This window comes from Homo sapiens, chromosome 7, assembly GCF_000001405.40.
Source record: "Homo sapiens chromosome 7, GRCh38.p14 Primary Assembly".
Classification (NCBI taxonomy): Eukaryota; Metazoa; Chordata; class Mammalia; order Primates; family Hominidae; genus Homo; species Homo sapiens.
Window position 1 is genome coordinate 122,037,239 of NC_000007.14, and position 26,108 is coordinate 122,063,346.

At 36.4% G+C, this 26,108-nt stretch overlaps 1 protein-coding gene across 5 annotated transcripts in view; it reads left to right on the plus strand.

The window, feature by feature from the left end:
- PTPRZ1 (protein tyrosine phosphatase receptor type Z1) overlaps positions 1-24,798 on the plus strand; it is a 188,876-nt gene extending 164,078 nt beyond the window's left edge. For all 5 annotated transcript variants that reach the window (NM_001369396.1, NM_002851.3, NM_001369395.1 and 2 more), the window contains 12 exons: positions 1,517-1,651; positions 2,216-2,350; positions 3,578-3,741; positions 5,370-5,505; positions 7,184-7,330; positions 14,190-14,283; positions 14,628-14,701; positions 16,672-16,800; positions 17,703-17,849; positions 21,562-21,704; positions 22,515-22,650; positions 23,842-24,798. In NM_001369396.1, coding sequence (NP_001356325.1) covers positions 1,517-1,651; positions 2,216-2,350; positions 3,578-3,741; positions 5,370-5,505; positions 7,184-7,330; positions 14,190-14,283; positions 14,628-14,701; positions 16,672-16,800; positions 17,703-17,849; positions 21,562-21,704; positions 22,515-22,650; positions 23,842-23,982 — 1,581 coding nt within the window. In that variant the 3' untranslated portion in view covers positions 23,983-24,798. The remainder of the gene's footprint in view (positions 1-1,516; positions 1,652-2,215; positions 2,351-3,577; positions 3,742-5,369; positions 5,506-7,183; positions 7,331-14,189; positions 14,284-14,627; positions 14,702-16,671; positions 16,801-17,702; positions 17,850-21,561; positions 21,705-22,514; positions 22,651-23,841) is intronic.

Sequence of the window (26,108 nt, forward strand, 5' to 3'; positions counted from 1 at the left end):
CACTCCAGCCTGGGCAACAGAGTGAGACTCCGTCTCAGAAAAAAAAAAAATGTGAAGGGCAGGGCCAAGGCTTATTTTAAGTTTCCCATAGCTCCTGGCACAAGGATGTGCATTTAGCTGATGAACAAAAAATTTCCATAGTAGTACTGATTAAAAGGCAAACATGATTATTAATCCAGTTATCAACCTTTATAATTTTGGGTATTCCTCAGGATACCCAGCTTTGTGGAACTTACTGGGACTCTCCAGAGACTGTAGACCGCTCACTAACTAAATTGGTTTTTCACTGTGATCACCTGAATGTCAGCAGAACTCAATTACTTCCCTAAGATGCACCTCTCAGTCTAGCTGGCTTCAGGTTAATACTGTGTGGAATACTGAATTCAAATAAATGAGTACATAAGTATAAAGTGGGTTTGTTACAGGCAACTGTTTCATGCTTCCTGAGGAGGAAATATGCATGTCAGAATGAACATGAGATCTGGAGTTAGAACTGATTTTGAATCCCATCTCTGCCACTGGCTAGCTGTGGGACTTTGGAAAGCCACTTAACTCCTCTGAGCTTTAGGTTCCTCATCTCCACATCAGGGTTGATGCTTCCATTTTGCATAGATGAAAGATTAAGGTTCACGTTCTGTATTAGTCTATGAAGGACACTGCTATGAAGGAATACCCAAGACTGGGTAATTTATAAAGAAAAGAGGTTTAATTTTCTCATAGTTCTGCATGGCTAGGGAGGTCTCGGGAAACTTACAGTCATGGTGAAAGGCACCTCTTCACAGAATGGCAGGAGAGAGAATGAGTGCCCAGTAAGGAGGAAAGCCCTTTTTATAACCATCAGATCTCATGAGAACTCACTCACTCTCACGAGAACAGCGTGGGGGAAATCACCCTCATGATTCCATTATTTCCACCTGGTTCCTCCCACAACACACAGGAATTATGGAAACTACAATTTAAGATGAGATTTGGGTGGGAAAACAGCCAATCCATATTATGCCCATAAAACATCTTGTACAAAATGGGACACAGTGACGAATTGCTAATAATGATTAGCACTTCTCAGCACGTTGAAGTAGAGTAAGGAGGTTACACTCCAGATGCTTTTTTAAGCTGTTGTAGACATCTGAGCCCAGTGCCTAAAATACATTTCAAAGCAGTGCTATTAAAGACTTGATTTTAAGCATAGCAAGTAGACCGCAAATGGATTAAATACACTTGGAATACAAATGCACAGAATTATAGTTGTGTCAAAGCAAAGAGAGCTATTCTTTTTTTTTTTTTTTTTTTTTTTTTACAAAAATGATAGGGATCCTTCTGCTTCCTAACCAAGAGTATTTTCTAACCAAGAGTAGCTATCTTAGTTGGTACCATCAAATTTCTCCAACTTTGCAAGTTTATTTTTTATGGTTTTCTTTTACGAAAAATTATGCTGACCTTAAAAACTTAGGCATTGTACAGTTAAAGATGACATATAAATCAGTTAGTAGGAAACATTTGTCATTTAATTCTTCAGGGCTACAACAGACCAAAAGCTTATATTGCTGCCCAAGGCCCACTGAAATCCACAGCTGAAGATTTCTGGAGAATGATATGGGAACATAATGTGGAAGTTATTGTCATGATAACAAACCTCGTGGAGAAAGGAAGGGTATGTAGATAATCTGTTATGTCACCCCCAAAAAAGTAATTAGAGGTACTTTAAATTAGTTTTAATAGAGTCAGCATTAGGAAGGAGCCAAAGTTTTGAGAGTTATTTGGGATTCTTTTTTAGTAAATATGACAGCTAAAGGGAAACTGTTAATACTGTTAGTCAAAAAGTTTCATTATGAATCATGCTATCTGCCTTTTAAACGCATTCTTCATACTGTGGGAGAAGTAAATGGGACTCATTGAAAAGCAATGTAGAGTGAAATCGATTTTAATTCACAGGACATGGATTTTAGTCTTGGCTCTGTAACCTGAATCTTCTGACTCACTTGCCTTATCTGAAAGGGGAAATTTTAGGGTACCTCATCTCAGTCTCGTTCAGCTCTCAGATTCTATCCCTAGCCTCCTCCACAACTAATTTCAGTCACTTATAAAGAAAATAAAACATTTAGAAGAGTGAAGGAGTCCATTCCTGTCACCATCTCAGACCTTTACTGATTTCAGGGAATGACTTTTACATGGAGCATTTGAAATACAGAAGTAACATCTACATTTTCTTTTGCAGAGAAAATGTGATCAGTACTGGCCTGCCGATGGGAGTGAGGAGTACGGGAACTTTCTGGTCACTCAGAAGAGTGTGCAAGTGCTTGCCTATTATACTGTGAGGAATTTTACTCTAAGAAACACAAAAATAAAAAAGGTGAGTCAACAAAATGATGGGCATAATCAAGTGAACAATGCATTTGGTCATTTTTTAAGTGAATAAGCGATAGAACCAAGAAAGGGTAAAAAGCATATAACTAAAGGCATTAAAAATTCTTGTAACCAGGCCAGGTGCATGGCTTATGCCTGTAATCCCAGGACATTGGGAGGCCAAGGTGGGTGAATTACTTGAGGTCAGGAGGTCGAGACTAGCCTGGCCAACATGGTGAAACCCCATATCTACTAAAAATGCAAAAATTTGCTGAGTGTGGTGGTGCACACTTGGGAGGCTGAAGCACAGGAATCACATGTACCCAGGAGGCAGAGGTTGCAGTGAGCTAAGATCATGCCACTGCACTCCAGCCTGGGCAACAGAGTGAGACTCTGTCAAAAAAAAAAGAAAAGAAAAAAAAAAAGAATTCTTATCACAGCTGCCGTCAGTCCTAAAGGTTTCTTTCAGGTCTCTAGATGCCTGTTGTGGCTTTGGAGCCAGACTGGTTTTGTTGCTGATGTTTAAAGTGAATGTGATACATGAACAGAAATTCCTACCTTGTGTGGCAACTGCATAGGATGGCCCTGACACAATCCCAATATTCAACTAAAAAGAGTGGAGAGTGAAACAAGAAAAAGAAAGGAAACACGAAGAATAACGTATTACTCAGGTTCTTCAAAGAAACAGAACCAACAGAATAGAGAGATAGAGAGGTTTACATTTTTAAGAATTGACTCACATGATCATGGGGATTAGCAAATCTTAAACCTGTAGGACAGGCTGGCAGCCTAGAAATTCTGGTAGGATCTTTACGTTGCACTGTTGAGAAGAATTCTTTATTCTTCAGGTAACCTATCCTATCAGTCTTTGTTCTTACAGCCTTCAAGTGGTTGAATGGAGCTCACCCACATTATGGACTATGATTTGCTTTACTCAAAGTCTGCTGACTTACATGTTAATCACATCTAAACAAAATACCTTTACAGCAACATTTTGTGTGATTAGTGTTGACCAAACAATGGGCCACCATAGTATAGCCAAGTGGACACAAAATTAACCATCACAAATGACACTCTACTTTCTTTCATTCATTATGGACCCTCAACATCAAATCAAGCTATGATTCCTGACTTGCTGTTGAAGAACCGTGTGTGTGTGTGTGTGTGTGTGTGTGTGTGTGTGTGTGTGTGTGTGTGTGTGTTTGACTGTTATTAACTGTCTGAACTTTTCCAGGGCTCCCAGAAAGGAAGACCCAGTGGACGTGTGGTCACACAGTATCACTACACGCAGTGGCCTGACATGGGAGTACCAGAGTACTCCCTGCCAGTGCTGACCTTTGTGAGAAAGGCAGCCTATGCCAAGCGCCATGCAGTGGGGCCTGTTGTCGTCCACTGCAGGTGAGTCTCAGAGATGTGCCTCTAAACCCATAGAATTGCTTATACTTGCAAAAAGGAAATCAATGGAACAAAGCTTTTGCCCAAATGGGAATGATTTCTTGAAATGAGGGTGATGAAATTATATGTTCATTTTCATAAGTATTGATCACTAGGAAATGAACATGCCAGACTCAGAATTGGATTGCTGAATATTTCTAAGCACCACATATTTTTTGATGTTGATTATTTTATTTGATTGTTCAACTGCATTTCAGCTTATTAACTATTTGAGGCAGGTGGAACAATGTTTTTGTTGTTAAACAAATATTTACCTCAACATATAATACCATGGGATAAAAATGCTTGAGCTACAACCCCTGTCCCTAGGAGTTAAAATTCTGTTTTAGAATTATTATGCCAGGCTTGTATCACAGAAGCCAAAGCACACAGATTGTGAGAAATTTGGCAAAATATATTTAAGTTGTTTTTAAACATTTTGGGACCAGAATCCCTTTTTCATTTTCTTGAGTTTTAATACATTACATTGAATGTATTGTCAATTCATTGTTGCCAAGATTTTTTAATTTCCAAGACTAGGTTGATAAATAGAAATAATGATGTTTCAATGAAAGAGGAAAAATGTTGAAAATCCTTATTTAATGTTTTCAGTTAAAATAATAATAGCAGTTAATATTTATTGAGTGCTGACTGTGTGCCAAGCCTTAGATCACAAAAATCAAATTTGTTTCTATGTGAAGTATTGTTATCAAAGCAGTGTGTTTTTAGAGAATCAAGTGTTTGCCTTTGATATATAGCTTATCTAACACATTCTAATTACCATCTCAGGAGTTAAATTTGAGAGACCCATCTTGAGGCTTTTTAATCTGTTAGCCTGATTATAAACTGAGGAAAACAGGAAGATGCAAGAAAAATAGTGCTGAAGGTCAGGGATTGTTTCCTAGCAAACGGAGAAGGACCAGGCTATTGTGCAGAGCAGGTGCTAATTTTCCACTCTAGCACTTCCTACTTGTCGGAACATTTGAAAAGAATCCCTGTCCGTGAATTCTGTCCCTCTGCTAGAGGCTTTGAAGAAGTCGATAGATAATGGCCCTTTAGAAATAACTGAAGTCATGCTTTATTCCTCACAATCTCACTGAAATGATATTTTCAGCAGAAAGCTTTATCAAATTCTTTTTCCCATTAACGCAGAAATCTTTACAAACATGTCTACCTGGAAACATAGACCTAGGGACTTTTTCTTTTCAGAATTTGGTGAAGTTAAAGCTTTCACTTTTGTCAGATTAAATGTCTATTTGCCACACTCTGATACATAATATTTTCATTGTACAATATACAATGAATAATAAATATGGTTTTTGAAAGTTTTAAAATCTCCAACAGATATAGTGAGGTTGTTTTGCAATTAGACACATGACAAAACATTAGAAAGGGTACTTCTAAATTTGTTGTGTAAAGCATTACGCTTAATTACTAAACTGTTTACAATATTGAATTGCCAAATGTATTGTGTGGCTCACTCGCTTGAAGAAGGAAGTTATTTTAATCAACATGACAACCAGTAGTGATCTATTTTTCAAATTTATTTTATGCTTAACATTGAAATATTTATTTCTTGGTCTTCTCTTCAGTGCTGGAGTTGGAAGAACAGGCACATATATTGTGCTAGACAGTATGTTGCAGCAGATTCAACACGAAGGAACTGTCAACATATTTGGCTTCTTAAAACACATCCGTTCACAAAGAAATTATTTGGTACAAACTGAGGTATGATTTTTAAAAAGATGATTTTATTCATCTAAGGTATGGAAATGTCACTAAAATGTAGGTGTATTCATCTCCTAGGACTGCAAAACAAAGTAATACAAACTGGGTGGGTTAGAACAACAGAAGTTTATTGTCTCATAGTTCTGATGTCTGTAGGCCCATGCCCTTCCAGAAGCCTCTAGAAGATTCTTCCTTGCCTCTTTCATCTCCTGGTAGCCCCATGCATTGCGTGGCTTGTGGCAGCACAATTCCAGTCTCAGTCTTCACTTGGCTGTTTCCCTCTGTGTCTGTGTCTGTATCCAAATTTTCCTCCTCTTATAAGCATACCAGTTATCCTCCTCCTCCAGTTGATCTCATCTTAACTGATTACATCTGTAACAAACTTTTATGCAAATAAAATCACACTCTGAGTTATCAGGCGGTTAGAGCTTTAATATATCTTTGTGGGGGGACACCATTCAACCCATGACACCAGTAACTGCAGCTATGTCATGAATGAGCCAGATAAATTTTATCTGTTTTGTGACCCCAAATAGGGAATATCCTTTAAAATGACACTGGTCACAGAGAAGATACAGCAAAAGTCTAAGTAGAGTGGTCCACACACATCCTTGCTAGCAAAAATCTCAAGTTCTTCATATACATAGTGGATGAATCAATTCATTTTTTAAAAAAATATGAATTATGCTTAAATTATATCCATTTTAAGCCCATATAGTTTACCCGTAAGTGACAGAACAGTGTCAGCAAATCTGCATTTTATCTTCACTGTTTCTAAATAAAAATGAACTTAAATGGAAACCTATGAATGGCAGCTTGAAAGCAATCAGAAACACATGGCTGAGTGGGCTTCAAAACGAAACCACACCAAACATCCTTCCATCCATTATCCTAAGCAAACTTACACAGGAACAGAAAACCAAATACCACATGTTCTCACTTATAAGTGGGAGCTAAATGATGAGAACACATGGAGACATAGAGGGGAACAACACACACTGGGGCCTTTCAGAGGGTGGAGGATGGCAGGAGGGAGAGAATCAGGAAAAATAACTAATGGACTAATGGGTATGAGCCTTAATACCTGGGTGATGAAATAGTCTATACAACAAACCCCCATGACACAAGTTGACCTGTGTAACAAACCTGCACATGTACCCCTGAACTTAAAATAAACATTAAAAAATAACATTCTGGTCATATAAGACCAAGAAAGAGTCCCGTATGTGAAATATCAGAGAACTATTAACTATATATAAAATTGAGTTAAATTGTATATGACAAGCGAAAAGGAGAGTTGGCGTTGCCAGAAGGGGTAGGCCCACCAGAAGTGTAGAAGTCAAGAAAGCCCTCTCATGAAGTATAGAGGTGTCAAGTTTGAAGGATAGGCAGAGAGGACATTCCTTTGCCTTGCCAACTCTTCCTGCCTCCTAACCTATTGTGTATTGCCAACAATACATAATAAATGAAGAGGTAAGGAATGAGAAGAGGTTCTTTCTTCTGTGACCACTTCCTTTCCTCTGTCTGACTTCCTTCCAGGTTTTGTAAGCAATCTTGTGTGGGTCTTCCCCCATTCTGTAAAACTCTCCTTGTCTGTCAATGGAAGGTACTATGTTTGTAGGTAGATACATATGAGGAAAACTTGAACTAATGTTGCTTATTGTCATTGTTTTGCCAGGAGCAATATGTCTTCATTCATGATACACTGGTTGAGGCCATACTTAGTAAAGAAACTGAGGTGCTGGACAGTCATATTCATGCCTATGTTAATGCACTCCTCATTCCTGGACCAGCAGGCAAAACAAAGCTAGAGAAACAATTCCAGGTGAGTCCTCTTGGAAGCCTCTTGGATGTCACTACAGAACTGAATGTCCCTGCATCTTCTCATTTGAGTTGACAGGGTCACGTTGAGTGGGCAGTATGGGTACAATGACTTTGTATTTGAGCCATCGTTGTTCCTTACTGTGGGCTACAGTGCCACATGGTAAATTTCAAGGAGAAACATAATTCTGAGCAGCAAGAGGAAAAGTTCTCAGAAACCTTAAACTAACTTTTATAAATGCAAACTTGGTCGAGAAAAGAAGGGCACAGAGCATAACAGAATGAACAGAAAGAACTTGTAAAACATACTATATAAGTGCTCTTTTTACTTTGAAAAAAAAAAACAGACCACTTAAACATGAGTGCGGTGGCTCAGGCTGTTCCTGATACTCTTTGGAAAAAATCTGTGTCTCACTTGAAACCCCTGGACCAAAGTAGTACACACTGGAATAATAGCTTCTTCAACCCCAGTTTCTCCCCCTCACCCTGTCTCAAGGCCATAAGCCAGAGACAAGAGCATGTTTTGTCCATATTGTACTTCCCACAATACCAGCTCTCTGACTTTCAGAAATCAGTAGGCAAAGAATTCAGAAAGCAGGTGTTACCGGACCTGCCAGCTGAGACCAAAGCATGTGCAGAATCGTAGCTTTCCACAGGAATGGGGGCTATATTATTTCACTCCACATTGTTCCTGTGCTATCTGCTTGCTTCTCAGAGTTCCTGGAGAAATAGGGCCAAATTTTGAAGAATGAATATCTGGGAAGAATTTGGAAGACCTTAGAAAAACCCAGGAGAGTTAACAAATGTTGAGATTTCACTTATTTCTCCTGCTTTGCTCCCCAGTCTACAGCATAGGATGTTAGCCACCATGAATTCCTTTGGGCCATTTGCCTTTTAAATTACTGCACGGTGTGCCTTTGGAGGTGTAAGAGAAAGATTGGGATCAATACTGAGTTTAGAACCTGTTGTCAGAAAGTCATACATGTTTTACTCATCCAAGCTTATCTCAGTCATAAAGGAATGCCTTAGGGGGGAAAAGAGTATGCAGTTGGTTTTCAGATAATAAAGAAATGTTAAAATGTAATTAAGTTGTAAAGATATCTTTTCCCTAAATAAATTACACACACACACACACACACACACACACACAATATTACCCATTTCAAAAAAACTCTCATTTAAATATGATTTGCCCCTGTGTAGTTGCATAAAAACATTGATATGGTAAGCTAAATAATCCAGGATCAAAATGAAAATATTAACTATAAGGTCAGAATTCAATTGAAAAGAGAGATATTTTACTCTCTTTCCTGTTAACATCATAAATAGGGAAATGTATTTGTGTGTATGTGTGTGTACCATCCCATAAAAAGATATCTATTCGAGTTTGTCTGTAGAAAATTTCCTTGAAATAAGTTGAATATCTGTGTATTCAGCAAGTACTTATCAGACACCTGCCAGATGCCAGGCTTTTGTGTTATTAGGGCGCAAACAAGAATTTGTAAAATAAATAAATAAAGCACACCCAGCTCCTAGTCTTATGGTGCCTGCAGTCTATTAGAAGATACAGGTAAGAAAACACAAACAGGCCAGGTGCAGTGGGTCACACCTGTAATTCCTCTGTTTTGGGGGACCATGGTCAAGAATTTGAGACCAGCTTGGGCAACAGAGCAAGACCCTGTCTCTATAAAAAAATTAGCTGGGTGGGTGGCATGAGCCTGTAGTCCTAGCTACTTCAGAGGCTGAGGTGAGAGAATTGCCTGAGCTCAGAAGTTCAAGATTACAGTGAGCTATGATTGTGCCACTGCACTCCAGTCTGGGAGATAGAGTGAGACCTTGTCTCTAAAAAAATAAAAAAGAAAGAAAGAAACAGATAAACAAAATAGTGTGAAAAATGCCATTATAGAGGTAAAACAGGATGCTGTAGGAGTACAGGTAAGGATGCAACTTACCAGAGGAGAATTGCGTAAGATATATTTAAGAGTTGAACACAGGATTTGGTGATTCATTGGACATTGCAGAGAGAGAGGAGAGAAAAGACACAAGCATAACTACTCAGATTCTGTTTGGGCACTGGGAAAGTAGTGATGTCATTCACCATGATCGAGAATTCAGGAAGAGGAGGTGGTACATGCTTGAGAGGTGTGGTGAGGGAGAAGACGTGAGATATTTCCAAATCTACCTTATTTTTAGGTTACTGGGAGATGTCCCAATAAACATGTATATTTGGCAGTTGGATACTGGTTCTGAAGCATAAGAGAGGTCTGGCCTGAAGAAATGGATTTGGGAGTGATCAGCGTAGAGATGGTTCCTTGAAGCCTCGGAATTGGATAAAATAGCCAATTAAAAATGAAATGTCTAAGAAAGGTTAGAAAGGATTACTTAAGAAAACATTTTAATTAACCTATGAATGGCCAGCCCACAAAGGAAAGGGGGGAAAGTGGCATCAGAAGGTAGGAGAAAATTCGGGACAGCGGAATATACTAGGATCCAAAGTAAATAATGTTTCTTGAAAGAGGAAGTGAACAGAGATGGCAAGTGCTAATGACAAATCAAGTATGTTGGGAATGGAGGAGGCCGTTGGATTTAGACAGAAGTCATTGATGACCTTTGTCTAAGAGCTATTTGAAAAGTATAGCATTGACACCAGATTACAGGGAGTTAAGGAGTAAATGGATTTGAGGAATTAAAGACAATTATATAACTCTTAAAAATTGTTTACTCTGGATAGAATGATTAAGATAACTATAAGAAAACTTTGAGTTAGTAAGATTTGGGGGTTGTTTATTTGGGGTTTCTTTGCTTATGTTTTAATATGAGACATGAGAGCTTCTTTAAAAACTAATGGGAAGGGAGATAATTGGAGAGTACAGAGACCCTGGGTGGTACAAAGAGGCGGGATTCAGGACACAGGTAAAGGAATTAGTGTTCAAAATCAGTAAAACCTATGTGCATGTTTACAGTAGTACACATATAGGCTCTAAGGCTGGAGGCTGAGGAAGTACTCTACGGTTTCTATTATCTGTGAAGAGAAGGTGGGTGTGTGTGAGTGTGTGTGTGTGGTGTGTTGCTACATATATTCCTTTTTTTTTTTTTTTCTCTGAGACAGGGTCTCACTCTGTCACCCAGGCTGGAGTGCAGAGGCACAATCTCGGCTCACTGCAACCTTCCTCTCCCTGGCTTAACTGATCCTCCTACCTCAGCCTCCCGAGTGGCTAGGACTATAGTAAGTGTACACAACCACGCCTGGTTAATTTTTTAAATGTTTTTTGTAGAGATGGGGTTTCGCCATGTTGCCCAGATGGTTTCGAACTCCTGAGCTCAATCGATCTGCCTGCTGTGGCCTCACAAAGTGCTGGAATTATAGCCATGAGCCACTGCACCTGGCCCATTGCACACATACTCTAAAATAAAACTGTTAATAGATGCAGAGGGAAAAGGGAGATAATTTTAAGGAATCTATATCATATCAGTCATTTTCTCAGAGTATAATACAGTAAAAATTGGAAATTGACAGTGAAAGGTTTCCATAAAAATTTTGATATTTGGGCATTAAAAATACCCTTTTAAATAATATACATATTTAAGAGGAAATTATAAAATCTTTAGAATTAAAGGTCAAAAGAAGCACTACATAACATTTTTAAAGTTTTTAAAATTAAATAGAAAATTAAAATGATTAAATAAAGATTTAACAAAACCTAATGCAGGTTCTATCAAAAGACTATTAAAATAGACAAACCTGTGTCCAGATTGATGAAGGGAGGAAAGAATGTGAGTAAATAATATTGAGATTAAAAAAAGAGATATAATTTAGAAACATTTTTAAACACAAAAGCATACTTTGAATATATTTGTGACAATACATTTGAAAACCTATATGAAATGAATAATTTATTGTATGTTCTAAAATAACTAAAAGCATATCATTGGATTGTTTGTAACACAAAGAAAGGTTAAATGCTTGAGGTGATGGATGCCCCATTTACCCTCCTGTGATTATTATGCATTGTATGCCTGCATCAGATAGCTCATGTTTTCCATAAATATTACACCTTTTATGTACCCAAAGAAATGAAAACTAAAAAGAATTTTTAAAGGAAAAATATAATGAAAATACACTAAAAATATATAGAAAATTTAACTAGGCCAATAGCCATTAAGGAAATCAAATCAGCTGCCTAAAATCCCACCTTCAAAATATAACCAGGCCCAAAATAATTTAATGTCACATTTTACCAATTTTTAAGGCACAGAAAATTCCAAATGTTAGCATAAAAAATCCAGGTGGAAAACTAACCCAGCTATTTTATTGGACAAATATAACTTTGATACCAAAACTGAACAAAGACAGAATAAGACACTTATAGGCCAGTATCAATAATCTTATTTAAAATATCAGCAACTCAAATCCAGCAGTGTATTTCTTTAATATCATGAGCAAGTAGAGTTTATAGGGTTTATTCCAAAAATGAAATGATGGTTTAACACTGGAAAATATGAATAGATTTACATAAAGAAACATTATGACCCTGTCAATTAATACAGGAAAAGTAGTCAATCAAATTCTATATTGTTCATTTAAAAAAAGAACTCTTAGTAAACCAGAAATAGAAGAAAGCTTTCTTAGCCTTCTAGAAAGTATCTGTCATAAAACTACAATAAACATCATACATAAAAATTAAAATTGGAAATGCTCATAGTAGATTCCAGAAAAGATAAGGAATGTCAATTATTGGCCCTGCTATTCAACATTATTCTGGAAATAGAATTAAACTAGATAGATGTATAAAGGTAGAAAAGGATTTGCAGATAGATAATATAACTACCTGCAAAGAATATCAAGAGAAGCAAAAGAGAAAATAATTTTCTTTAGTTAGAGTTTAATAAACATACATAAAAATCAATAGCATTGTTATTTGTTAGCTTTGAGTGATTAGAAAATGTTTTAGAACAAAAAAGAACCCAATCATTAACAAAAACAATAACAAAACAGTAGCAAAAACTTCATCATCTCAAAAAAGACACTTAACAAAATGTGCAGTAAATATAGAGAAATTTATAAAAGTGAATTGAAGAGCATAAAATTAGGCCCAAATAAAATATAATGTTGATACATGGAAATATTAAGATATTGCTTCTCCTTACATTGACTATAGAAGTCAATGCAGTATCAATCGAATTTATGGCAGGATTTTTCATGGAAAATGTAGAACAGATTTTAATTTAGCATGGAAAATTAAACAGCCAAAATATCTCACCTATACTGAAAAGGAAATAATAATAGAAGAATTCTGTTGTACTGTATATGGAAGACTTATGATGTGATATAATAGTATTGGAAAACGGAGGAATCTAGCAGAGGAATGATGCATTTGAGGAAATCTGTTATGTGGTAGAGTTAACATTACGTATCAGTGAAGAAACAGCAGATTAATCTATAAATAACATTGGGAAAATTTTCATGTCAAAAAAAGTAACATTGTATCTCTACCACTCCTCAAACACTAAAATGTATTCAAGATGGATTAACTACCTAAAGGTGAAAGCAAACCTTTATAACTATTGTAAGATCATTTTAGAAAAGAAAATATTGGGTTGGGCACAGTAGCTCACACCAGTAATCCCAATACTTTGGGAGGCCAAGGCAGGGGGATTGCTTGAGCCCAGGAGTTCGAGACCAGCCTGGGTAATATGGTGAAACCCCTTCTCTATAAAAAATACCAAAATTAGCCAGGTGTGGTGGTGCATGCCTGTAGTGCCAGCCACTCGGGAGGCTGAGGCAGGAGGAACTCATGAGCACAGGAGATTGAAGCTGCATGCACTCCAGCCTGGGTGACAGAGTGGACACCTGTCTCAAAAAAGAATTGAAGGGGAGGAGAGGGGAGGGAAAAGGAGAGGAGGGGAGGGGAGGAAAATGCACAGCAGGGCATATATTGGAAAGTATTTCTTAATAACTTCAGGATAGAGAAGGACTTCTTACGTAAAATGATAATTTGCAGAAAACTTAAATAAGAAAAATAAATTGGCTGTAAATCTCTGTGTGATTAAAGAAACTGAAGATGTTTCCAACTTTTTACACACTATAGATTTACATTCAAGACAGCAAGAACCCCCTACAAATTAATAAGTGGAAATGAAGTAAAAATATGAAAAGGCAATCATCAAAGAAGATATCTTAATGACTAATGAGCACCAAAATTCACAATTTCACAGAAATTAAGACGATGCAAATCAAAACCATGATATACTATTTTTCATTTACCCGACTGTCAAAAATAAAACACTGAATAACTGAATACTCCTAATGCTCTATGGAAACCGTCACACATGTGCACATTAAGAGACATACAGGAGATGCTCATATCTATAAAGCTATACAATTGCAAAACACTGCAAATACCCAAATATTCACTAGCTGAGGAGTAGATAAACAGAATGTAGATTATTCATGTAATGGAGTAGTAACAGAAGGAATAAATAAAATTGAATTATATACATATATATGTATATACACACACACGATGTAATTTACCTCCAAACGTCTGTGTGAGATTTAAATAGAGGAAATGGAGGTTGCACATCTATAGTGGAAGCCGTGAGGAAGATTATCTCAATGCTAAAAGAATTACTAGAGATTTCTTTGCTTCTTGTAACTCCCCTGGTGTAAAACACAGAAGCTCCAGGAAGTTCACTAAAACAAGGTTAAATTCAAGGAATTGTTGGAAAACATTTCATATATATTTTTAGTCAGTATCTTATCTTGATTGGTGTGTGTGTGTGTGTCTGTATGTATGTGTGTGTGTGTGTATTTGGGGGACTTAAATGAAATAACCTATATATTTTTTTACTTTCTTGCCCAGCTCCTGAGCCAGTCAAATATACAGCAGAGTGACTATTCTGCAGCCCTAAAGCAATGCAACAGGGAAAAGAATCGAACTTCTTCTATCATCCCTGGTAAGTTGTGTTGATCCTTGAAAAAACAACTTTTTTAAAATAATAAAAGCCTTGTAGGAAATTTGGCAATATTTGTATACCTTTGGAGCAAATGGAGCACATTCAAATATTTTTAATTTTGTCCAATATGTAACTGTTCCAAAGGACTCATAAATCCTTGAAGTCTTATCTAAATATGCAAAATGTATAGAAAAATTAGCTTACAGATCAGAGACACTTCAACTTGAAAAATGTAGCTATATTTTACATCTGGCATGGGGAAAAGATGGTACAGTGCTGTGAGCATGAGTTGTTTTGTTTTGTTTTGTTTTGTTTTGTTTTACAATGAATGTTCTGTGTTCCAGTGGAAAGATCAAGGGTTGGCATTTCATCCCTGAGTGGAGAAGGCACAGACTACATCAATGCCTCCTATATCATGGTAAGTCAGAGAAGTCACTGAGGAGACTGCCAGCTTGTGTTACAGGGATCAAAACCAGAATGGGCTGCCAGAAGCAAAGACTACAGGCATGGGCAAATGAGTGGTAAATTTAAGTTAAATCTGTTGACTGCAAGCCCACAGTCCACAGCAACAGTTGTAATAATGGCATGCTTTTATGTGTGCTGGGACTGAAGAAACCTCAAGCAAGACCAATTAGCAGATGCAGGAACACAAACTCACCATTTAGGGCTGATGAGTAGATATAAAACTTATACCTGCTTATCTAAAAGGCTTTATTTCCTTCACTAAGGCAGAACCCCTGAGCAAACCCGGGATTCACTGGCTTCAGCAAAGCCTAACCTCACTGACATCACTACTTCAGGTTTGCAGCATGATTTTTAGCCTGCAAACTGGGCTCATTTTAGGACCTGGATTTCTAAAGATACAATGCTTTTCTTCTGCATTTACATCTTTTGTGTGAGGGATGAGTGTTTTAGTAGCTGTTGTGTGACCTTCATTAACATTTAAGGTCAATCAATCACGGAGCTTGGCTTCTGATGAAAACCTAATTCTTATTCCAAAACCTCTGTTCTATTTATCCAGCAAAGAAAATATTAAGGAATATCTATGCAGGAAACACAGGGATGTGTGGTAGTGGCATCTAAATACATTCACATTTCAAATGAGCCACTGGGTGATAGGAATGGGATCTGAAAGCAGAAGGGGCTAGAAGAGCCAGGACTTTAGTAACAGTATAAATATCACAGTTAATACAATAGCTCTAGCTTCTAGGTATCTGTAGCAAAATATGCAAGATGTCTCCCTGGTTCCTCTCTTGTAGAGGCAACCAAGGTGTCTGGACACCAAAGTGGGAAATGTAAACTCTCCTGTAGATTTCCCACTCTCTGTGGAGTAAGAGACAGTATCCACAAAGCAGTTTGGTAAGTCTACAGCTAGAGGTGTGTTTTTAATGAAACTGTTCAAGTTTCTCTATCAGCTTAGCTGATAGCTACCATTCTCAGTGACCACCAGATGCCCAGATGAAAGAGCACCAATAAGGGATTCACCTGCATGGGTTCCATTGAGCAGTCTCACCTAAAGTCTTCAATGAAAAACCACAGTGTGAAAATTCAGAGTTTTTAGTATTTATGGACCCTGAAGGGTTCATGGCACTGGAGGCCACATGCATAGAGCTTAGGCAGAGCAAGCAGGGAAAGAGAGAAAAGGACCCATGGACCAATGCCCCCACTGAGTCCAGGGCATTATCCAAGTAGGTTTTCCATGGGGAGTTTTACTTGATGAGTTTAAAGCAAGCAGGCACAAGTCCCAGGAGGTTATGTAGTGACTGAGAGGTATTTACTATGGCATATCTGCAAAGTCCATGTAGGTGTGAGGGTCAGCGAGGCCAGCCAAGCAGGCTGTTCTGTAGTGAAATGGTCACTATGGAGCAGTTTTGTAAGTTAGACAACTGGATCGATCACTTTAAGGAACTGGTGGATGGGACGATGTAGAACTGGAAACTGTATCAAGGTGACTGAACCCTGCTTCTGGCATGACAAAGTCCAACTTATATTTAAAAGGAATGCCAAGGCAACATAAAAATCATAAACATTCACTACAAGATGATAGGTAACCTTGAATACTACATCTGACTTCTTAAGGCAAACTTGGGCACAATGCTTAATTTCTAAAGCCTCAGTTTAATCATCTGTAAAATGGGGGTCACAGTTCCTATCTCACAGTATTGCTGTGAGGAACAAACGATTTAAGAGAAAAAAAAACACATAGTGTCACACCTAACATACAAAGTGCCCAGTAAGCATTGGCTATAATAATCATATTACTACATATAGACACAATCTGCAATTCAAAAGACTATTTTGACTTAAGGTCCATTGATGTATAAATGCTTATCTGAATGTTTAAAGGCATACGCCAGTGCTGTTTTTGTCTTCTCTTTGGTTTTGTAGGGCTATTACCAGAGCAATGAATTCATCATTACCCAGCACCCTCTCCTTCATACCATCAAGGATTTCTGGAGGATGATATGGGACCATAATGCCCAACTGGTGGTTATGATTCCTGATGGCCAAAACATGGTAAGTCCCTTAGACCACTTTTGGGACTTCCTTTACAGAGGAATATCAGGTTACAAACAGCAAAAAGTCCAGCATACAAACAAGCAAAGTAATTTTGTTTTCAACTAATAAACTAATGTCATTGAAGGCATACTCTTCTGCTGTTGGGCTTGGTTTCATTATACAATCTCCTAGGTCAAAGTGATGAATAAAAGTTTTAAATGAAAGTAGATATAAATGAACTTAAATGTATGTGTTTTGTGACATTGCTTAAGAAAATTAGAATCACAGCCATGAAAGAAATCAGTCTATATGCTTCTATTTACATTTTTAAAATAAAATGTGTTAGAATATTTAGAGATTCCCTGAGTTTAAGGAGGTCTCTAATTTTTTCTTTAAAAAAAAGACCTAGTTAGAATTAAGTGATTTCCTAGTATAGGAAGGACTTTTTTAGTATAAGAAAAGCAGCGATATCCCATCCCCCTCTTTATATATGTTTGGAGAACCCAACAAGTAAAATAAATATTTCATTTAGGCTTTACATGTTTACTTAGCTTTGATATTCAGTTCTTATCTATAAAGTTATTGTGTGACCATTACACATGAGGCTGGAAATTTCTGAGCTCTTAAAATCACTTGAATCTTCTGTACTCAGTTGTCAATTACAGAAGCAATAAGCTTATCATTGTTGATAAGCTAAGAGCATAAAATAATAAAGCAATAGTTTGGGTTCCTAAGTGTGATATTTTATTCAGCACATCAATCTAGTTGAAGGCACGAGAAAGATGTTAAGAGTAAATATTCAGATTCAAAGAAAAATTGGAGTTGAAATTTCTGTGCCAACCAATTAACTTTATTTCACAATCTGACTTATTGGTCATTTTATTAAAATCTAGACTCTTCTTTCATTTGCAATTCTGCAGGCAGAAGATGAATTTGTTTACTGGCCAAATAAAGATGAGCCTATAAATTGTGAGAGCTTTAAGGTCACTCTTATGGCTGAAGAACACAAATGTCTATCTAATGAGGAAAAACTTATAATTCAGGACTTTATCTTAGAAGCTACACAGGTAAGGATATAAGTTAAATGACAAACTTTTTATCTTAAACACATGTTAAACATATTCTGACCTAAGGATCTGTCCTAGAAATGAAAAGCATGATTCTGATTTTTTCCCCATTGAGACAAATACACAAATAATCAAATTACCTTGTCACTTTCATTTTCAAAATGATATAGAATCATTAAACAATTAGTCATCACTACGTCATTCCTGAATTTTACACACACAGGAAATCAAAGCTCATTTACTCCAGATTAGTGGTTGACAGAACTTAGGTGAAAAATAAACACAGTAAAAGAATAAATTTATTAATTTTAATTCTCATGTTTTAATGTAATCCCTTACCTTGTAAGTAAAATGGGAAAAATACTACCTACCTAAACTCTCCTAAGTAAAATGGGAAAAATACTACCTACCGAAACTTACTATTCTCTACCAATGTAGAAAGTTGATGAGTGATAGTGATGTAGTAAGTTGATAAATGAAGTGCTTTGAAAACACACAGGACAATAAACTAAGAATATTTTACTAAAGTCTTGGTTATCTATTACACAAGATACTGTTGTTATCTACAAGATAATACATTGTTTTACTAAACTTAATTATATGCAAATATCTATTATTGAATTATTTGTCAATGATTATTTACATAGAACTATAGTAAAATACTAAAAGATACTAACAATGATGTCTAAGGAATGTGAGATTCAGAGTACCTTCTCAATATGACAAAGATTAAATCATGTTCCAAATAATTTGAATGTTTCACTTTTCTCTAGTTCTGAAAACTAGTACATATATGGTATACAAGAAGATTCTCTATCCTCTAGAATATTTAAATGACCAATACATATAAACTTGATAATACAAATAACTAATAGTGTAAACAGCATAGCAGTGGAATAGTATCCTATCTCATTAAAACAAAAAAGACTTAGGTCTTTATTTGTAAAATGAAGGGCAGAAACTAGAAGGCTCGTAAGGTCCCTGAGAGCTCTTAATGTTCCATGCTAATTTCTATCTCTGATTACTCCCTGATCACTTTAGTAGCATCCATTTAGATCTGCCATCTCTCATGCCTTCTCATTATTCCTAGTTAGTAAGAAAGCCTATTACAAGAGTAATAATCATTATATACCTATTATCTTGTCACACCCATTATCCTGATCACTGATCATGTTTAATATCTTGCTCAGCACTGGGAAATTAGCACTGTTTTTCTCCTAGTATTATTCAGAAAATAAACTAGATAATACAGGTTCCTGATTGATCCTAATTCAGTATGTCTCATCTATGTAAATCAGCTATTATGGACAACTTGATAATCCAGGAGCCCAACCCAGGGATAAACAGTATTTCTATAACAAAGATCAAAAAAGAAGGAAAGACTAAACTGGACAGTTTCATTAACTTCAGACATTTTTAGGCACTTTAACCAAATATCACATTTGAGGTTAGTAGACAAGTGAAGGTCTATGCTACTGAGCTCAAAAGCTAGGGGCCTTTTATTTATGTATTTGTTATGAGGACTATTTTTAAGAATTTATTAAATATTGAATATATTTAAGATGTTTATATTATATGTGCAAGGTTTGACAATTATGTTAAATTACTTTTACCCACCATTGACTTTAAGAAATAGAACATGGCCTTGACCATCAAGTCTTTCATTTGCTCCCTATCCCCTTCATCCTCTCCTCACTTCAGAAGTAGCCTCTTCCTGAATTAGTGTTTATTGTTCTCTTGACTTATTTTATCAGTTAACCCTTGTCTTTGTTTTCCTTCACACGCGTGCTGCTTACTTTTAAATATCTGTGAACTTTATATAAATTATGTGTATTATGCTACTCAGATTTATCTATGTATTTGGGTATAGTTCAAATTCATTTACTGCTGCTGCTTAGCATTCCAGATAATACATATCCTTTTTTCTATTTTACATGCAAATTATTACTTGTTTGTTGTGTTTTGTCTTGGTTTGATGTTGCTATTACGAACAGTGCTGATATGAATATTTTTAGTCACATGCAAAATTTCCTCTTGGGGATATCCTGGGAATTCCCCTGCTGTGTTATTGTGTTGGATCATCTTCAACTTTCTTTAACTTTACTAAATGAATTCAATTGTTTTCCAAAGTCATCCTACAAAGGTATCCTCTCATCAGGAATGTATGAGTGCACTACATCCTCATCAGTGCTTGTGCTGGGAATGAAACGGCATCTCTTGTTGGTTTTAATTTGCATTTCTCTTGTTGAAAATGAAGTTTTCAACATAACTTTACATTTTTACATAATTATTTACATAAATAATATTTTTACATACAATATGTTTTATACATATTATTTTTACATAAACATATTTTTATATAAATTAATTGACCATTCAGATTTTATCTTTTGTACTGTGTCTGTTCATGATTTTTGCCCATTTTTCTGTTAGGTTATTTATCATTTACTGATTTATCAGAGGTCTCGTATTGTGGATACTAATCCTTTGTCAGCTGCATATATTGCAAATACTTTCTCCCAGTTTGGGATTTGAATTTTTTACTTTCTTTGTGATTCTTTTTTTTTTTTTTGTCTTTTTTTTTGTGAAAGAAAAGTTTTGAAGTTTAATCTATATGAATGTATTGATCTTTTTATTCCTGGCCTTTAAAAGGAAACCATCATTTAGTATCTTAAAAAAATACCTTTTACCCTGAAATCATGAAGATGCTCTCTTACACTGTTTTCCAAACGTACCACCTGAAATTGACTTTTTGTATTATATTTTGTGAGACAAGGGTTCGGTTTCATTATTTTCCATGTGATACCCATTGTCCCACCATTATTTATGAATTAGCAATATCAGTTCAGTCATTCATATAGTGTGTGTGTGTGTGTGTGTGTATATATATACATATATATATACATATATATATGTGTGCTTGTTCTAGGACATTTATTTTATTCCATTGGTCACTTTGTTCATCCCTCAGCCACAATGGCAGTGTTTTACTTCTTATAGCTTAGAGTAATTCTTGATATCTGATGAGTTAATTTCCTCTATTGTTTTTCTTATTTACCAGTATCTTGGCTATTTTGGCCCTTTGCACTTTTATGTAAAATTTAGGTTCTGCTACTTGTTTTTAAAAAAGGTATCATTTTTTTAAAAAAGTACACTTTTGGAAGCTGGAGGCGAGAAGTTTAAGGGATTTATCAAGTCACAGTCTTGTTGGTCACTTAAGTAAGAATCAGAATTGGGATCCGAGTTGAACCTAGATCTCTACCTCCTTGTCGGCGTTTTCTCCACTGTGTCATGCAATCTTTTACTTAAGCCTGAGGATTACTGATAAGTGAAGAAAGTGTATGCTATTTTCAAAACAGATTTTAACACCAATGATTTCCTTTTATAAATTTGAATTTAGCCGTGCAAATACATCTTTGATACATAGTTTCATGGTTTGTAAGCATTGGCATATTTCACCCACAGATAGAGTTTATTTTTAGAATAAAAAAAGAAATTATGTTTTTTGATTCTACTAGTAAATCTATGCATGTTAAATGTGGCATCACAACTGTTTCTTCCTTCTATGATGAAGAATGTGCTGCAACTACTGCTGCTCACTCATGCCTGCCATTGGGTTTTATTACCTTACTGTAATTCCTGATTTTCCTCAATGATTCCACTCCTGGTAAACTGTCACTAACTAACATTACTTTGTGTTTTCTTGTTATAGGATGATTATGTACTTGAAGTGAGGCACTTTCAGTGTCCTAAATGGCCAAATCCAGATAGCCCCATTAGTAAAACTTTTGAACTTATAAGTGTTATAAAAGAAGAAGCTGCCAATAGGGATGGGCCTATGATTGTTCATGATGAGTAAGTTCCATGTGTTAGATGGTTTCACACCTGCACATTTTCTGGGCATATGTATATTTCTGTTGTCTTCAGACAAACCTAATGCTTTGGACCCACTGTGATGATTCAGCCATGGTGGATTATCTGCATCTTATCAATAAAGTTAACACAGAACATTTTTTTTTTTTTTACTTCACTTGAAGTCCCTGTTGAAGACAGAGAATGGGGTCATGATCACAAATATCTTCTCTTGCATTTGATGCTGAGAACACTTTGTATACTAAGTCGGTGTTTTAGCAGTGAAATTTTCAGGAGCCAACCAGAGAGGCATTTTCAGTCATTGATTTCCTGGCATAGAAGTGAAATTGATATGATTTTTATTTTTCAGGAACAAGAAACCATCCAATAAATCTTCCTAGGATTCCATCATAGACAAATAAAAAATGCATATGCTGAACTTATGTTATAAATATATAAAATACAGTTTGTTATATATGTATTTATACATTATATTATATGTGTATTATACATGTCTTTATATGATACTCTCAGGTTTTTTTTATTATTGCCAACTCCTTTCATAGTATACAAATAATAAACCATAAGCAAATACTAAACTTCTGTAAAGTATTCCACTATTGATATCATGAACACTTGGCAATATTTCAGATTAAATCATAGTTCTTTGTGCAAAAAGCGAAGAGAGACAATTCATTAAAAGTTTCAGTGTTTTCACTGCAAAGTTGTCAAGGCTATATGCTTTGTGAGTTCTAAATGTGAGTGGTGCATCTCAATGGAGTCTTTGTTCCTTTTCTTTTTTTTTTTTACAAGGCATGGAGGAGTGACGGCAGGAACTTTCTGTGCTCTGACAACCCTTATGCACCAACTAGAAAAAGAAAATTCCGTGGATGTTTACCAGGTAGCCAAGATGATCAATCTGATGAGGCCAGGAGTCTTTGCTGACATTGTAAGTAACAAGGCAGTGAACGAAATTTTTCACTGATAGAGTACAACTAACTTCCTAGAGGCTGCTGAAATCTTATGTATCAAGAAAGATCTTATTAACTGATAACATTAGTATGTAGTTTTCAAGCTGAATTACAAGTCCACAATCCATAGAACAACAACATTTAAAATTTATACTTCAGAAAATTTATGGATAAAAACTTTTAAATCTCATGTTTGCCTTTGTGCACAATAGTAAACAATGCAAATAAGCTTAGGTGAATGTAGAAGTCATAGGCTCACCTTCAGCTCTTTGGTCTGTTTAAGGGCCTTATAAAGGGACCTTCTTCAAAGCTCCAGCCTAGACCAGTTGGCAGGAGGTCAAAGTTATCTTCATGCACATGCACTGCAGAGGAGCCCCTAATAAGTCTTATTCGGGGCCGCTGAGTTGTATCAAGCTTGTGCTGCATGAAACTCCTTTCTGGAGATGCACAGTTCGCGAAAGCATTTAATTATGCACTGCGTCACATGTAGGCCTCATGGTTTTCGGCTATGATGCTGCTCACTGGTTCAGGTTCTCTGTAGCTACCTCTCCCCAAACTGCCTGAGATGGCATCTGTAAGAGAAAAACTGTTTCATGCTTCTATGTGCCACTGCTCTGAGACCACAGCAGAGAAGGTACTTACCTTTGCTCATAGCAGGGCATAGGACCAGTTGGGCTGATAGAATGTGAAATTCTTCTTATTGGTGAACAGTGAAGGATTGCATTCTACATGGGTTCCTGGGCTAACAGTACAGTCATTCCTGAGATCTTTCCGTAAAGAGGCAGACCCAATGGATTTTCTAACAAGTAGAGAAAGAAGAAACTTGTTTCTGAGTGAGTTACAGATGTCCAGTGCCAAACGGTTTCGCCCACAAGTTAACAGAACCCTGTCTCATCACCTTCTGATTTCATGAATAAGAATTAAGTACTTATTGGCAAATGTATGTAGGTTAATTTTCTAGGTCAGTGAATGGTCTGCCGATTGCAACGTTAATTTAATCAGAAGAGACATCAGTATAGGTTGTGTGCATCTGCTGAGTATAACAGTGCCCTTAACACATTGCCCTTTCATGAACAGTGCTGAAGTGTGTCTAAAAATATTTCTTCTTTTTACAAATGTATGTCTTCACTGAGCTTCGCATTTATTACCTCCCATCTTCTGTTCTCTAGGAGCAGTATCAGTTTCTCTACAAAGTGATCCTCAGCCTTGTGAGCACAAGGCAGGAAGAGAATCCATCCACCTCTCTGGACAGTAATGGTGCAGCATTGCCTGATGGAAATATAGCTGAGAGCTTAGAGTCTTTAGTTTAACACAGAAAGGGGTGGGGGAACTCACATCTGAGCATTGTTTTCCTCTTCCTAAAATTAGGCAGGAAAATCAGTCTAGTTCTGTTATCTGTTGATTTCCCATCACCTGACAGTAACTTTCATGACATAGGATTCTGCCGCCAAATTTATATCATTAACAATGTGTGCCTTTTTGCAAGACTTGTAATTTACTTATTATGTTTGAACTAAAATGATTGAATTTTACAGTATTTCTAAGAATGGAATTGTGGTATTTTTTTCTGTATTGATTTTAACAGAAAATTTCAATTTATAGAGGTTAGGAATTCCAAACTACAGAAAATGTTTGTTTTTAGTGTCAAATTTTTAGCTGTATTTGTAGCAATTATCAGGTTTGCTAGAAATATAACTTTTAATACAGTAGCCTGTAAATAAAACACTCTTCCATATGATATTCAACATTTTACAACTGCAGTATTCACCTAAAGTAGAAATAATCTGTTACTTATTGTAAATACTGCCCTAGTGTCTCCATGGACCAAATTTATATTTATAATTGTAGATTTTTATATTTTACTACTGAGTCAAGTTTTCTAGTTCTGTGTAATTGTTTAGTTTAATGACGTAGTTCATTAGCTGGTCTTACTCTACCAGTTTTCTGACATTGTATTGTGTTACCTAAGTCATTAACTTTGTTTCAGCATGTAATTTTAACTTTTGTGGAAAATAGAAATACCTTCATTTTGAAAGAAGTTTTTATGAGAATAACACCTTACCAAACATTGTTCAAATGGTTTTTATCCAAGGAATTGCAAAAATAAATATAAATATTGCCATTAATTTGTGTTTGCTTGTGGAGCATTGTGCTGAAGCGTGTGTGGCAGAAAATTGTGGATGTGGGTCCCCCTATGATGATGGCACACACACACACAAAAAACAGCTAGTAGGATGGGACAGGATTTAGAGTGGTGGGTCCCAAACTGTGCATTGAGGTGCACAGGGAAGTACAAAACTTTCCATTTGTGAGGAAAACACAGCAACATGTGCAGACACTGCACAAACTTTTACTATTAAATTATTTGAACTTTACTACTTAATGAACAGAACAATTATGTATTTCTTTTGGCTTGGGGAGTGCTATGATCTGAATGTTTATGTCTCCCGACAATTTATCCCCTCACCCTCAAGGTGATAATATTAGGAAGTAGGACCTTTGGGAGGTGATTAGTTCATAAGGGCAGAGCTCTCATAAATGAGATTAGTGTCCTTATAAAAGAGGCCTGAGCGAGACCCCTCACCCCTTTCGATGTGTGAGATTATGATGAGAAGACAGCTGTCTATAAGAAAGCAAGCCTTCACCAGACATCGAATCTGCGGGCACCTTGATCTCGGAACTTAGCCTCCAGAAGTGTGAGAAATAAATCTATGTTTGTTTATAAGCCACCATATTTATGGTATTTTGTTACAGCAGTCTGAATGGACCAAGACACAGAATTCTGAAAATGTTACTGATGAATTAAGAGCATCATGTACCAAGAAATGTTGGGAACTTCCGATTTAGAAACTAGCTGGAAGTTAGAAGTAGGCAGATTTGCTAGTCAGAGACTCCAATATAAGCAAAGGTCAAGGAGGGGATTGGAAAAGGCATAGACAGACAAGGACTACGAGGTAAAAAAAAATTCCAGAATGGAAAAAGAGAAGAGGTCCCATGTTGAGCAAATCATCAAGATCCAAGAGCCACATGGAACTGAAATTCAGGAAAATGGAATCATTAGTATCAAGCAGACTTTGATGCTTGCAGCAGTCCCCTGCCTCTGCCAGGAGTGTTTTATAATACTACCTACAAAGGAGCTCACTGTTCCCTAAGAATGCTCAGCTCAGGGCCCAGAACAGGAAGCTAGAGAAGTTTTGTTTAAACCAGTGGCTCTCAAAATATGATTCCCAGATTTGTAGCATGGACAAAATCAGGGAACTTGTTAGAAATGGAATTCTCAGATTCCCATCTGTCAGAAACTCTGGGGGCTAGGGCCCAACAATCTAATGAATGCTAAAGTTTCAGAACCATTGCTCTATAGCAACAACACTTCAGGGAGCCTCCAGTTACCTCAAGCAATATCAAGAAATTTTCACAATGTCTTTAAAATAGAGCT